We start from the raw sequence: 15,830 nt of genomic DNA, 5'->3' as shown, positions 1-15,830 counted from the left end.
ATCAGTAAAAATGGCCGGGCGCGGTGGCTCACGCCTGTAATCCCAGCACTTTGGGAGGCCGAGGTGGGCGGATCTCAAGGTCAGGAGTTTGAGACCAGCCTAGCTAATGTGGTGAAACCCCATCTCTATTAAAAAAAAACCACAAAAATTAGCCGGGCGTGGTGGTGTGTGCCTGTAATCCCAGCTACTCAGGAGGCTGAGGCAGGAGAATCCCTTGAACCCAGGAGGCAGAGGTTGCAGCGAACTGAGATTGCGGCACTGCGCTCCAGCCTGGGCAATAGAGTGAGTCTCCCTCTCCAAAAAAAAAAGAATCAGTAAAAATGAATATAGGTCAAGTGAAATTATCCAGTCTAAGAAAGAGAAAGAAAAAAGAATGAAGAAAAATAAACGGAGCCTAAGAGACTTGTGGGACACCCAAAAAAGTACTAACATATACATAATGAAAGTCAAAGAAGGAAAGTTGAAAAAAAAGGGAGCTGAAATTATATCTTGAGAAATAACAGTCAAATCCCTCTGGATGAAAAAGTTAATATACACATCCAAGAAGTGCATAAACTGCAAATAGGATAAACTCAAAGAGATCCACATCAAGACACATTATAGTAAATCTGTTGAGCTCCAAAGAGAGAGAATCCTGAGACTGATATCCAGCAAAACTCTCTCTCACAAATGCAATAGAAATTAAGACATTCCCTGATTCAAGAAAGCTGAGGTCTGTTACTTGTAGACTTGACCTACAAAAAAATGCTCATGGGAATTCTTCAGGCTAAAAGGAAAAAACACTGGACAGTAACTGAAAACCATATATAGAAATAATGAACAATGGTTACATAGGTAAATAATGAAGAAAGTATCACTGTATTTTTATTAATAAGCCCTCTTTTTCCCATATGATTTAAAGACAAATGCATAAAACAAAAATTACTAATCTATGTTAATGGCCAAACAATGTAGAAAGATGCAATCTGTGACAATCACAATATAAGGGGGAGAAACATAGATATAAGAAGCAGAGTTTTTGCAAATTATTAAAGGTATTATTAATGCCAATCTAGTTTAGTATTAATTTAACCTAGGTTGTTATAAGTTTAAGATATTACCTGTAATTCTCAAGGTAACCAGTAAGAAAATAACTAAAGATTGGGAGGCCGAGGTGGGCGGATCACCTGAGTTTGGGAGTTCGAGACCAGCCTGACCAACATGGAGAAACCTCCGTCTCTACTAGAAATACAAAAATTAGCTGGGTGTGGTGGCACATGCCTGTAATCCCAGCTGCTTGGGAGGCTGAGACAGGAGAATCACTTGAACCCAGGAGGGGTTCACATACACACACACACACACACACACACACACACACACACACACAGCAAACAGCAAAACAGCAGAAGTAAATATTTCCTTATCAGGAATTGGTTTAAATGTAAATGGATTAAACTCACCATCAAATGGCAGAGATTGGCAGAATAATTTTTTTTTTTTTTTTTTTTTGGTCACTGCTGGAACAGGAAAGCAAGCCAGTAGCAATCCAGCAACTGGGGGTAGACCAAGCCAGCACCATAGATACATTTTCAGGAAAAAAGTCCTCCCTTACAAAAGCAAATGCCAAAAAAGAAGTGCCTGCTACAGTGTATGTGCAGATATCAACATAAGGGAACAGGTACATGAAAAGCAAGAAAACAGGACACCTACAAAGAAACCCAATAATTATTTAGCAATAGACAGTCAAAAAGAAATTTCAGAAATCTCAGATAAAGAATTCAAAACATTGATTTTTTTCTTTTTTGAGATGGAGTCTTACTCTGTCACCAGGCTGGAGTGCAGTGGAATGATCTCGGCTCACTGCAACCTCCGCCTCCTGGGTTCAAGTGATTCTCTTGCCTCAGCCTCCCGAGTAGCTGGGAGTACAGGCACGCACCACCACGCCCAGCTAAATTTTGTATTTTTAGTAGAGACGGTGTTTCATCATGTTGGCCAGGATGGTCTTGATCTCTTGACCTCATGATCCGCCCACCTCGGGCTCCCAAAGTGCTGGGGTTACAGGCGTGAGCCACCATGCCTGGCCTCAAAACATTAATTTTTAAAGAAGCTCAGTGAGATACAAGAGAATTCAGAAAAACAATACAATCAGGAAAATAATTCAGGATATGAATGATAAATTTATCAAAGAGATTGGTATTTTTAAAAGAACAAAACAAATTCTGGAACTGAAGAAATCACTGAAGGAAATATAAAATACATTTGAAAGCTTCAACAATAAACCAGATCAGGCAGAAGAAAGAATCTCAAAACCTGAAAACAGGTATGTTGGTATAGCCCAGTCGTTAATATATATATATATTTTTAAATAAAAAGACATGGGGTCTCACTATGTTAAAGAGGCTGGTTTCAAACTCCTAGCCTCAAGCCATCCTCCCATCTCAGCCTCCCAAAGTGTTAGGATTACAGGCATGAGCTACTGTGCATGGCCAAATTAAAAAACAAAAAAGGCTTTGTGACATTTGGGACAACATGAAGTGACCAAATTTACAAATTAGCAGTATACTCAAGGGCAAATAAACAAAGAAAGGATTAGGAAACTTATTTAATAAAATAACAGATGAAAACTTCCCAAGTCTATCAAGAGATTTAGACATTCAGAAACAAAATGTTCAACGACCTCAAAGCAAATGCAATGCAAAAAGATCTTCCTCACAGCACATTACAATCAGACTGTCTAAAGTCATATTTAAAGAGCAAATCCTATAAACAGCAAGAGAAAGGAGTCTAGTCACCTATCAAAAAAAAAAAGAAAAAGAAAAAACCTCAATCAGACTAACAGTGGATTTCTCAGGAGAAAACTCACAGGCCAGAAGAGAATGGAATGATATATTCAGTGTGTGAAGAAAATAACTGGCAACCAAATGTAGTCAACTAAATTCTCATTCATAAATGAAAGAGAAATAAAGTCATCCCAACACAAATGCTAAAAGAATTCATTACCACAAGACCATCCCTAGAAGAAATGCTCAAGGAAGTCCTAAACTTGGAGGCGAAAGGATGACATTTACCATCATGAAATCACATGAAAGTGTAAAACTCACTGGTAAAGAAAACATACAAAGCAAGAAAATAATTCAAACAGTACCACTACAAAAATCTACCAAATCACAATGACAAACTGTAAGAGAAAAAGACAGGAACAAAGAATATATAAAACAACAGAAAACAACAGTATGACAGGAACAAAGCCTCATATATCAATAATAAACTGGAACATAAACAGATTAAATTCTCTTCTTAAAAGATATAGAAAGGTTGAATGGATTCAAACATATTATCCACCTAGACACTGCTTACAAGAAACTCACTTTAACACTAAAGACAAATATAGACTGCAATTAAAGGGATGGAAAAAGATATCCCATGCAAACAAAATCCAAAAGCAAGTGGTGGCTATACTTATATCAGCTAAAATGAACTTTAAGTCAAGAACAGTTAAAAAAAAAAAAAAAAAAAAAAAAAAAAAAAAGATGGCTGGCATGGTGGCTTACACCTGTAATCCCAGCACTTTTTTTTTTTTTTTTTTTAGATGGAGTCTCACTCTGTTGCCCAGGCTGGAGTACAGTGGCACGAGTCTCGGGAAGCTGAGGCAGGAGAATCACTTGACCCCGGGAGGTGAAGCTTGCAGTGAGCCAGGATTGAGCTACTGCACTCCAGCCTGGGCAACAGAGAGAGACTCCGTCTCAAAAAAAAAAAAACAACAACAAATAGGTCATTATATAATGATAAAGGAGTCATTTCAGAAAAAACATGTAACAATTCTAAATATATATATACACCCAATATAGAAGCATCCAGATTCATAAAGCAAATATTACCAAATATAAAGAGAGAACTAGATTGCAATACAATAATAATGGGGGACATCAACACTCCGTTCACAGCATTAGACAGATAATAAACAAACAAAAAACATTGGATTTAAATTGGACTTTAGACCAAATGGACCTAACAGACATTTACAGAACATGCTATCCAACAACTGCAGAATGTACATTCTTTTCATCAGAACGTAGAACGTTCTACAGGACAGACCACATGTTAGGACACAAAACAAGTCTCAACATTTTTAAAAATCAAAATCATAGCATGTGTCTTCTCAGAACACACTGGAATACAACTAGAAATCAACACCAAAAGGAACCCTGGAAGCTATACACATACATGGAAATTAAACAACATGTTCCTGAATGATCACTGGGTCAACAAAACAATTAAGATAGAAATAAAAAAATTCCTTGAAATAAGTAAAAATGGAAACACACCATAGCAAAATCAGTGAGATACAGCAAAAATGGTGCTAGGAGGGAAATTTATAGCAATAAATGCTGACATCCAGAAGGTAAAAAGTTATAAACTATAAATCTAACAATGTACCTCAAGGAACAAAGCAACAACAAACCAAACAGAAAATTAGCAGAAGAAAAGAATTTCAAAAGATCAAAGCAGAACTAAATGAAATAGATAGTCAAAAAATAAATAAGCAAATAAATAATGCAAAGGACCAACAAAACAAAACGTTGGTTATTTGAAAAGATAAACAAAATTGACAAACCACTAGCTAGACTAACCAAGAAAAGAGAAGACCCAAACAATTTAAATGAAAATGGAGACAATACAAATGAGACCACAGAAATAAAAAAGATGAGAGACTATTATCAACAACTTATAAGGACAAGCTGTAAAACCTAGAGGAAATGGAAACATACAACATACCAAGATTGAATCAGAAATAAATAGAAAACTTGAACATAATGAGTAGTGAGATTGAATCAACAAGAAGTCTAGGTTGGGTGTGGTGGCTCACGCCTGTGATCCCAGCACTTTGGCAGGCTGAGGCAGGTGGATCACCTGAGGACAGGAGTTCAAGACCAGCTTGGCCAACATGGTGAAAGCACATCTCTACAAAAAAATACAAAAATTAGCCGGGAATGGTGATGCGCCACTGTGTTCCCAGCTACTTGGGAGGCTGAGGCAGGAGAATCGCTTGAACCCGGAAAGCGGAGGTTGCAGTGAGCCAAGATCATGCCACTACTGCACTCCAGCCTGGGAGACAGACTGAGACTCCATCTCAAAAAAACAACAAAAAAACAATAAAAAGTCTAACATAGAAAAGACCAGGACCAGAAGGAGTAACAGCCGTATTCTATCAAACATACATAGAAGAACTAATATTTATCCTCCTGAAACTATTCCTAAATCATCAAAGAGGAGGGAATTCTCCCTAACTCACTACAAGAGGCCAGCATTACCCTGATACTAAAACAAGTTAAGGACACACACATACATAAGAAAACTAGAGGCCCATATTCCTGATGAACACAGATGCAAAATCTTCAACAAAGTAACTAGCAAACCAAACCCTTTTAAGCACATGAGAAAGATAATATACCATGATCAGATGTAATTTATACCAAGGATGCAAGGATGATTCAACATATACAAATCAATAAATGTAATATATCATATCTACAAGATATAGGGAAAAAAACATATAATCTCAATTGATGCAGAAAAAGCATTTGATAAAATTCAACATCCTCCCAGGATTCAAACACTCAACAAACTAAGCATGGAGGGCACATACCTCAAAATAATACAGGCTACATATAAAAAACCCAAGGTAACATCATACTGAACAGGGGAAAGTTGAAAGCCTTTCCTCTAGAAACTAGAATAAGACTTCTATCACTCCTATTCAACATATGACCAGAAGTCCTAGCCAGAGCAATCAGGCAAAGGAAAGAAATAAAAGGCATCCCAATTGGAAAAGAGCAAGGTGAAATTGTATCTTTTTGCTTAAATGATCTTATATCTAGAAAAACCCAGACTCTACCAAGAAACTCTTAGATTTGATAAATGAATTTAGTTAAGTTGCGGGACAAAATCAATGTACAAAAATCAGTAGTGTTTTTATACACCAATAACAAATGTGCCATCTCATGCACATCCCATGCTCATTGCTTTGAAGAATTAATACTGTTAAAATGACCATATTGTCTAAAGCAATCTACCAATTCAGTGCAATCCTAGCCAATCTCTAGAGATAATCAACAATTTGCCCTTGAGTGAGTTTTTCAAATGCAAAACAACCAACCCAGAATCCACACCTCCAACCACCTCCTTTACCAGGTTCTCTCTTTACCAGTTCTCTCCACTATCCACCTGCTGTAATCACCCCAGGGCCAGATACAAGAGAGTTAACTAGGGACAGGTCCTCTGACCCAGAGCTCACTGAAATTATTCAAACAAGCCAAGCTTAAGCCGGCTTACACTGCCTCAACCATTCCTTCCCACGGAGACCACAATAAAAGCTCTTGCCCATAGATTTCCCCTCTCCTATTTGTCTCTTGACTGACCCCAGTGCTCCTCATGTGGCCCCTATGGTGTGGTGTGCCTCTCCCTCTTGTGAACTGTAACTACATTTTTAATGGCAATTGTCTCTTCATCTGTTAGCCTCACTATATTATTAGTTGTTAGTAATAATAAAAGCTATTACAATAGGCTCCCATTTATTTATTTTTAGAGATAGTGTGTTGCTCTGTCACCTAGCCTGGAGTGCAGTGGCATGATCGTAACTCACTGTAACCTGGAGCTCCTGAGCTCAAGAGACCCTCCCATGTCAGTCTCCTGAGCAGCTATAACTACAGGCAGGCAGGCAGACCTGGAAAATGTTTTTCAATTTCTTTTTTTGTAGAGACAGGGTCTCACTATGTTGCCAACACTGGTCATGAACTCCTGGGCTCAAGCGATCCTCCCATCTCAGTCTCCCAAACCATTAGGATTACAGGCATGAACCACTGCATCTGAGCCATTTATTCTTAACTTTTAAATATTAATCATGCAGTGCATATGAACACAGATATATGTCAAATATAAGCTGCTGATTCCCGTCAGTAGCCAAAAAAACTATCCACAATATATAAATACCAGAGGTGAGATTTAGTTTCTCCATATTTGGTCACTCAAAAGGTTCTGTAACAGACGATGAACTCATTGGGACTGCTTCCCAGAGAGACCTCATGAAATTGTTCTTCACAGCAGCTATAGTTATATTTTTATGAAGGTGATTAATTTGGTGTAGCTCTTGATCATTGAATAAACGGCCCCATGAAGCTGCTTTGAAGCTAACTTTGATAAAATTATTGGAAGCTAGAATACAGGCTGAGTATCCCTTATCCAAAAATGATTGGTACCAGAAGCGTTTCAGATTTTGAATTTTTTTCAGATTTTGGAATATTTGCATGTATATAATGAGATATCTTGGGGACAGTGTCCAGGTCTTGAAGGTAATTTTATACAATATTTTAAATAATTTTGTGTGTGAAACAAAGTTTGTGCACAATGATCCATGAGAAAACAAAGATGTCACTATCTCAGCCACCCATGTAGATGATCTATGGCTATATAGCATCATCATCATTCCTGATTCTGAATTTATGATACCAATAAGCAATAATTTTCTTAACTTATTCACACATAAGAACTTAACAGTAAAAAACATGACATGCCATTAAATAGTGAAAAAATAATGTATGCAGTGTAGTATCACCAAAATACCAGTTACCAGCTTTTTAAAAAAAGCAACAACTAACAATGGTAGGCTTTCAGTCTCCACCTATGATGCTGTGTTTTGATTAAAATGTTACTATAGGCCAGGTGCGCTGTCTCACGCCTGCAATCCCAGTGCTTTGGGCGGCTAAGGCGGGTGAATCGCCTGAGGTCAGGAGTTTGAACAGACTGTCCAATGTGGTGAAACCCCATCTCTACTAAAAATACAAAAACTAGCTGGGCGTGATGGCGGGCACCTGTAATCCCAGCTACTCTGGAGGCTGAGGCAGAAGAATCGCTTGAACCCAGGAGGCGGAGGTTGCAGTGAGCCGAGATCGCACCATTGCACTACAGCCTGAGCAACAAGAGTGAAACTCCATCTCAAAAAATAAATAAAATAAAATAAAATGTTACTGTATACTGTATTTTATTTTTTTAGGTGAGAAGAAACATAAGAAACAGTTGTGGGACCAAGAAATGGGTTCTCTAGGGATAAGGAGGCATTCTGCTGGATGGCTCCTGTAGAACCATTTTTAAATGTTTCCTCCAAAGGCCAGGCATGGTGGCTCACGCCTGTAATCCCAGAACTCTGCGAGGCTGAGGTGGACAGATCACCTAAGACCAAGAGTTCGAGACCAGCCTGCCCAACATGGCAAAACCCTGTCTCTACTAAAAATACAAAAATTAGCTGGGTGTGGTGGCGTGCCCCTGTAATTCCAGCTACTCGGGAGGCTGAGGCAGGAGAATTGCTTGAACCCGAGAGGTGGAGGTTGTAGTGAGCCGAGATTGTGCCACTGCACTCCAGCCTGGGAGACAGAGTGAGACTCTGTCTCAAAAAATAAATGAATACATAAAAATAAAATAAACGTTTCCTCCACAGTTATCTGCCTCATTAACAACAACTTTTGTCTTATTAATCTAGCTTTGATTTTAGAATCTGATATGATTTCTTGTTCTGTTATGAATGTGTGCTGCTACCGCAGCTGAAGGGAGCAGGGAGGGTCTTTTTCCCTTGAGGATGTTGAATGAACTGTGTTGTACACCTGCGTTTTGACTGCAAACGCAAGTCAGGTGTGGAATTTTCCACTTAAGGAATCATGTCGGCAATCAAAAAATTTCAGATTTTAGAGCAGTTTGGATTTCAGATTATGGATGTTCAACCTGCAGTAACTCCATGAGAGCTCTTGGGGAAGTCAGTACTGAACTAACTGAATCGTGATCCTCTCAAACAATATCCTCAAAACAGCCTCAGATGTTTGAAAAAATGAGCATGTGTGTGTAATAATCATTCAGCTTACCTGTACAATGATTAATCAGAGGAATAATTTCTTCCCAAATCCCTTCCAGGTATAACTTTTTATACTTTTCTGTGTTTTATTTTAAAAATAATGCCTTTTTAAAAAGAAAAAGACCACAAATACTGAAGAAAGCATCTGGCACATAAAATTCATTACTGAGGACTTTAACTAGATCAGTTGAGTGATCTGTAAATAGTGGTGGGCACATATACTTACTAAAGGAGTTTAGGAATCTGTGCCACAAGTAATACCAAACAATAAACAATCTGTAAAATGAAGTAATTTTATGTCTAGAGGGTGGCCCAAAGAAACAGTGTTTTGTATATCTGGTTTCACTGAGAAGGATTCCCCAAGTATTGGTAATCATCTCATGTTATAAAGAAGAGATCTAAGTTGTGGATGTTCTTCTACAGCTCTATCATTCCAATTCCAGTAAATTCCATCATTTCTCAGATATATTTTATTCTTCAATTCATAAATATATAAGTTTTTAGAATGGGACAGAACCCTGGAAATAATTCTTTTTTTTTTTTTTTTTTTTTGAGACGGAGTCTTACTGTCACCCAGGCTGGAGTGCAGTGGCGCCGTCTTGGCTCACTGCCAGCTCCGCCTCCCAGGTTCACACCATTCTCCTGCCTCAGCCTACTGAGTAGCTGGGACTACAGGTGCCCGCCACCGCGCCTGGCTAATTTTTTGAATTTTTAGTAGAGACGGGGTTTCACCATGTTAGCCAGGATGGTCTCGATCTCCTGACCTCGTGATCCGCCCGCCTTGGCCTCCCAAAGTGCTGGGATTACAGGCGTGAGCCACCATGCCCAGCGAACCCTGGAAATAATTATTTCCAGTTCTTTCATTTTGCAGATAACTCCACAGAGATTAAACACCTTTTCTAATTCAATGCTGTTAGTCATTAGTTTAAGAAAAAAAAAAGAAAGAAATGAAATACATAAAGGTACATTGTCCTTATTATCACAAATTTATAATTTACATGAGGATAAGAATAGTTATAGGCTGGGCACAGTGGCTCACGCCTATAATCCCAGCACTTTGTGAGGCCCAGACGGGTGGATCACCTAAGGTCATGAATTCGAGACCAACCTGGCCAACGTGGTGAAACCCCATCTCTACTAAGAATACAAAAATTAGCAGGGCGTGGTGGTGGATGCCTGTAATCCCAGCTGCTCAGGAGGCTGAGGCAGGAGAATCGCTTGAACCCAGGAGGTGGAGGTTGTAGTGAGCCAAGATCATGCCCCTGAACTCCAGCGTGAGTGAGAGCACGAGACTCTGTCTCAAAAAAAAAAAAAAAAAAAAAAGAGTAGTTATAATACAAGGCATAATTTGATACATTGATACATTTTTAGAGAGTACCTAGGGTTGATAACAAACTGATATGATTAGGCCAGGCAACCTCCTCCATGTACTCCTAGGTCACATTCTCAATGAGGCCTTCCCCAGTCAAGCTATTTAAAAATGCATACCTTCCCTCCTCCTGTGCAGCCCATCCTTGTTTATTTTCTCCCCACCACTTATCGATATCTAATATATTATTTATTTTACATATCTGTTTTGTTTATTGCCTGTTTCCCCTACTAGAAAATAAATCTCTTGAGTTTATGAAGACGGGCTTTTCTTTTGTTCACTGCTACATATTAAGCACAACGACAATGCTTGGCTGCAGAACAGGCAACACGTAACTGCTGGATAAATGAAGGAACACTAGCGACTTGTCTGTCTAATCTCTGCTTAACTTCAGGTCTTATATTTTCAAGTGGTTTGTTAGACAATTCACTCAAGAACTGTTTGAACACCAACCATGTACAAGGCACTCTCCTAGGTTACCTGGGGCTAATACTATCCCTCCCTCTCCCCTAGAGTAGACATTGTATGCATTTATATTCCTATAGCATGTACTCTACCATCAATTACCATGTATCATTGGTTTTGTGCATACACTAGGTTGTAAGCTTCATAAAACTGAAAATTATCTTGTTCATCATTGTATTCTTAGAGACTAATACAATGCAAAGTACATAATATGCTTTTAACATATATGTATTTATTTATTTAAGAATTTACATACAGTAAAATTCACTCTTTTTCTTAATTTTATGATTTTGGCCAAATGAATAGAGTTGTGTATCCAACACAACAACCAGTTCCATACACACAGGGGAACATAAAGAAGAATCACAGCAAATTTACTGTTAAGCCATAAGACAACAGACAAATGCCTCCAAAGTACTCAGGAGAAAAAACCCAAAGAACCAAAACAGTCAACCAAGGATTCTATACCCAGAATGATATCTTTCAAAACCAAAAATGAAATAAAGACTTTTAAGACCAAAATCATAGAAAAAGCTAAAAATTCCATTAAAAGCAGAATATTAGGCCAGGCACAGTGGCTCACATCTGTAATCCCAGCACTTTGGGAGGCCAAGGCAGGATGACTGCTTGAGCCCAGGAGTGTGAGACCAGCCTGGGTCACATAGTGAGACCCCCATTTCTAAAAAAATTTTTTTTTCTAATTGAAAAAAAAAAAGCAGGCCTTCACTACAAGAAACAACAGGATTGGCTGAGTACAGTGGCTCATGCCTATAATCCCAGCACTTTGGGATGCCAAAGTGGATGGATCACCTGAACCCAGGAGTTCAAGACCAGCCTGGGCAACATGGCAAAAACCCATCTCTACCAAAAATACAAAAAATTAGCTGGGCATGGTGGTGCATGCCTGTGGTTCCAGCTATTCAGGAGGCTGAGGTGGGAGGACCACTTGAGCCTGAGAGGTGGAGGTTGCAGTGAGCCGGGTTTGCACCACTGCACTCCAGCCTGGGCAACAGAGTGACACCTCATCTCAAAAAAAACAAAAACAAAACAAAAAAAAAACCCAATAGGATTGAGCAAATGAATAACTTTGTTGATATTTCTAGGAGCCAAGTTTCTCAATATGGAAGAAAGGACATAGAAATGTGAAATGATAGTATGTATATAGACACATAAACACATACATACTATAAACTGGGGATAAGCTAGAGTAGAACTGGAGGCCTTGGTGTACACTCATAATTTTGTAAATATTTATAGTCATGTGTAGCTTAACAACAGGGATACATTCTGATAAATGCATTGTCAGATGATTTATTCACTATAGGAACATCATACAGTGTACTTAAACCTAAATGGTACAGCCTACTGCAAACCGAGGCTATATGGTATGGCCTATTGCTCCTAGGCTATAAACCTATACAGCATTACTATACTAAATACTGTAGGCAATTGTAAAACAATGTTAAGTATTTGTGCATTTAACATATCTAAACATAGGAAAGGTACAGTAAAATACAGTAATGTAATCATGAGACTACCTTTGTATATGCAGTCTGTCACTGATCAAAAAGTAGTTATGCGGCACATGACTATTTGTGCACATGAATATTATATGAATCATGATTTCTTACATACAGGTTTGTGTGTGTGTGTGTGTGTGTATATATGTATAAATACATATTTCCTAGTACTGTTTGTTGAAAGAACCAAGAAGCAAAGACACTCCAATAGCAATGAACAGACCTAGTGTCAGATCTCAGTCTCTAATGCCATTTCCCACAAAAAGAAACTCTGGTTCCTCAGATAAATTGCTGAATCTACACCTAGGGCAGGACAGGTATATTGTGAGCCTGGAAAATCTTTTAATGACAGAATATGAGGAAGTGCTCAAAAATATAATAAGGAATTAACACATGGATTCAGGAGCCGGCTTAAAGAGATTCCCTCTGATCAAATCCGGGACACTTTGAGCACCAAAATAAGATTAAGAAATTATAAATCGTTGGAAAAAAAAGAAATGAATGAATCCATACATATTATAAATATGGATACATATACATACATAGAGAATGGTGATCTATTTCTTAAGCATAATGCCAAATGCCTACTGAGAAATGTGGAGGAAGTGCTAGAGTTGAAAAATCATCATTTTGCAAACATCATAGTAGAGAGTAGATAAGGTAGGAATAATCATAGATGCTAAATTGAGGAAGAAATATTAATAAAGAGTAGTAATTGTGTGGTCATCAAGTCTGTCCCCACAGATTGCATATTGGAGCCAAAGGAGAAAAAATTAGTTATCATATAGTGGAGAAATACAACAGTTTCATTGAGTGAAAAACTTAATATCACCTATGAGGGACAGCTATGCTGAGAAGGACAAAATATCATCTATGCAGAATTTGCCTAAGAAGGCATAGCATCAACTGATCACAATAGATGATCAAAGACAAAATAAGAAACATTCTATTGGGGGAAAAAAGTAGAAAGAAAAAGAAACAAACAAAAAAGTGGAAAGAACTTTTTTTTTAGAGACAAATCTTGCCCTGTGGCCCAGGCTGGAATGCAGTAGCTTGATCATAGCTCACTGCAGTCTCAAATGATACTCTTGCCTCAGCCCCTCAGGTAGCTAGAACTATAGGCATGCACCACTATGCCAGGCTAATTTTTTTTTTTTAACTTTTTGAAGAGATAGAGCCTTGCTCTGTTGCTCAGGATGGTTGCAGGAAGAGCTTTTTAAAAAGATGACAAAGTGAAACATGGCAAAGAAAGGCTAGGGAATAACTCCAGATTAAAGGAAACTAAAGAGACATGACAACTAAATGCAATACTTGAATTTATTTTATCTTATCTTATCTTATTTTATTTTATGATGGAGTCTTGCTCTGTCACCCAGGCTGGAGTGCAGTGGCACAATGTCAGCTCACTGCAACCTCCACTCCCCAGGTTCAAGGAGAAAGAAAATGCAATGTAAGATATTATGAGATCAACTAAGAAAACTGGCATATGGAAAGCATATTAGATAAAAGTATCATATCAATGTCAATTTATGAAGTTGATCACTGCACTGTAATTATATAAGGGAATATCTCTAAACTTAAAACTGCACATTTGAGCCGGGTGCAGTGGCTCATGCCTGTAATCCCAGCACTTTGGGAGACCAAGGTGGGCGGATCACTTGAGGTCAGGAGTTCGAGACCAGCCTGGCCAGCATGGTGAAACCCCATCTCTACTAAAAATACAAAAAAATTAGCTGTGCGTGGTGGTGCATGCCTGCAATCCTAGCTACTCAGGAGGCTGAGGCAGGAGAATCACTTGAACCTGGGGAGCGGAGGTTGCAGTGAGCCAAGATTGTGCCACTGCACTCCAGCCTGGGTGACAGAGCAAGACTCCATCTCAAAATAAAATAAAATAAAATAAAATAAAATAAAATAAAATAAAATAAAATAAAATAAGGCCAGGTACGGTGGCTCATGCCTGTAATCCCAACACTTTGGGAGGCTGAGGTGCATGGATCACTTGAGGTCAGGGGTTCGAGACCAGCCTGGCCAATACGGCGAAACCCCGTCTCTGCTAACAATACAAAAATTAGCCAGATGTGGTGGCATGTGCCTGTAGTCCCAGCTACTAGGGAGGCTGAGGCTGGAGAATCACTTGAGCCTGGGAGGCAGAGGTTGCAGTGAACCAAGATCTTGCCACTGCACTCCAGCCTGGGCAACAGAGTGTGACTCCATCTCAATAAATAAATAAATAAATAAATAAATAAAGTAAAATAATAAAAATACACACTTAAGTATTTATGGGAAATGAGCCATGATACATGCAACATGTCCTAAAAAGGCTCCATATCAAGAACAGCAGCAGAAACATTAAAAATCTAGATAAATATGGCCGGGGGCGGGGGCTCACGCCTGTAATCCCAGCACTTTGGGAGGCCGAGGCGGGCGGATCACGAGGTCAGGAGATCGAGACTATCCTGGCTAACACAGTGAAACCCTGTCTCTACTAAAAAATACAAAAATAATTAGCCGGGTGTGGTGGTGGGCGCCTGTAGTCCCAGCTACTCGGGAGGCTGAGGCAGAAGAATGGTGTGAACCCAGGAGGCAGAGCTTGCAGTGAGCTGAGATTACGCCATTGCACTCCAGCCTGGGCGACAGCAAGACTCCATCTCAAAAAATAATAATAATAAATAAATAAAAATAAAAAATAAAAATCTGGAGAAATATGACAAACTATTAGCCTTTTCTTAAGTTATTTAAAGTATGTATGACAGTTGAAGTAAAACATTATAATGTTATCTAATGGAGTTTTATTATTATCATTATTATATTTTGAGACAGGGTCTCAGTCTCCCAGGCTAAAGTGCAATAGCATAATCACAGCTCACTGCACTGTCGAACTCCTGGGCTCAAGTAATTCTCCTACCTCAGCCTACCAAGTAGCTGGGACTACGAGTGCACCCCACTACAATAAGCTAATTTTGTTGTTGTTTTTGTAGAGATAGGGTCTTCCTTTGTTGCTCAGACTGGACTAATGGAGTTTTTCAGCACATACATGTGAATATAATTCACATGAAAACTACCACATGAAGCAGGAAGGGGAAGTGATCCATGTGGTTATAGGACCACAAGACTATAACTGCAGTGGTAAAGTATCAAATCTAAATAGACTGTTAAAAGTTAGGTTACGTATGTTATAATCCCCACAGCAGCCAATAAAAAATAATACAAATATAGCCAAAACGTGAATGAAATAAATTAAAAGAGAATATTAAAATATATTTAAAGGAGAGGGTTTTGAGAAGATGACAGAATAGGAAGTACCAGAATTCCATCTCTCCACTTATATAACAATTTCACTGGCAGAATCTGTTTGATATAACCATTTGGAAACTCTGAGTCTAATGAAGGCTGGCAACATCCAGGCAAAGGCTTGGAGAAGGGCTTGGATGGTAAATTGTGATTAATTTTAGCAAATTTCAGCTCTTAGTATAGCAGCAGCTACCCATTTCTTCACCCCCACCCCCCTGGCAGGCAGTCATGTGAGTATAACCAGAGCAGCTTACACACAGCTTATAGAAGCCAGAGCAAGCAAAAAAAAAAAAAGGACCCTGTCCTC

At 38.7% G+C, this 15,830-nt stretch overlaps 1 protein-coding gene across 6 annotated transcripts in view, besides 1 other annotated feature; it reads right to left on the bottom strand.

The window, feature by feature from the left end:
* CENPP (centromere protein P) overlaps window positions 1-15,830 on the bottom strand; it is a 295,062-nt gene that overhangs the window by 244,922 nt on the left and 34,310 nt on the right. The gene's annotated exons all lie outside the window — the stretch shown is intronic.
* Window positions 2,461-2,630: an enhancer, noted in NCBI's record as "experimental_109628 CRE fragment used in MPRA reporter constructs". NCBI's record gives its function as "activates a minimal promoter by MPRAs in K562 erythroleukemia cells, with activity observed for the non-introgressed 9:95135345 variant allele {active_cell/tissue: K562}" and the evidence as "EXISTENCE:reporter gene assay evidence [ECO:0000049][PMID:34662402]".

The sequence above is a fragment of the Homo sapiens genome, chromosome 9 (genome assembly GCF_000001405.40).
Source record: "Homo sapiens chromosome 9, GRCh38.p14 Primary Assembly".
Taxonomy (NCBI): domain Eukaryota; kingdom Metazoa; phylum Chordata; class Mammalia; order Primates; family Hominidae; genus Homo; species Homo sapiens.
This window is presented reverse-complemented; position numbering and strand designations above follow the sequence as displayed.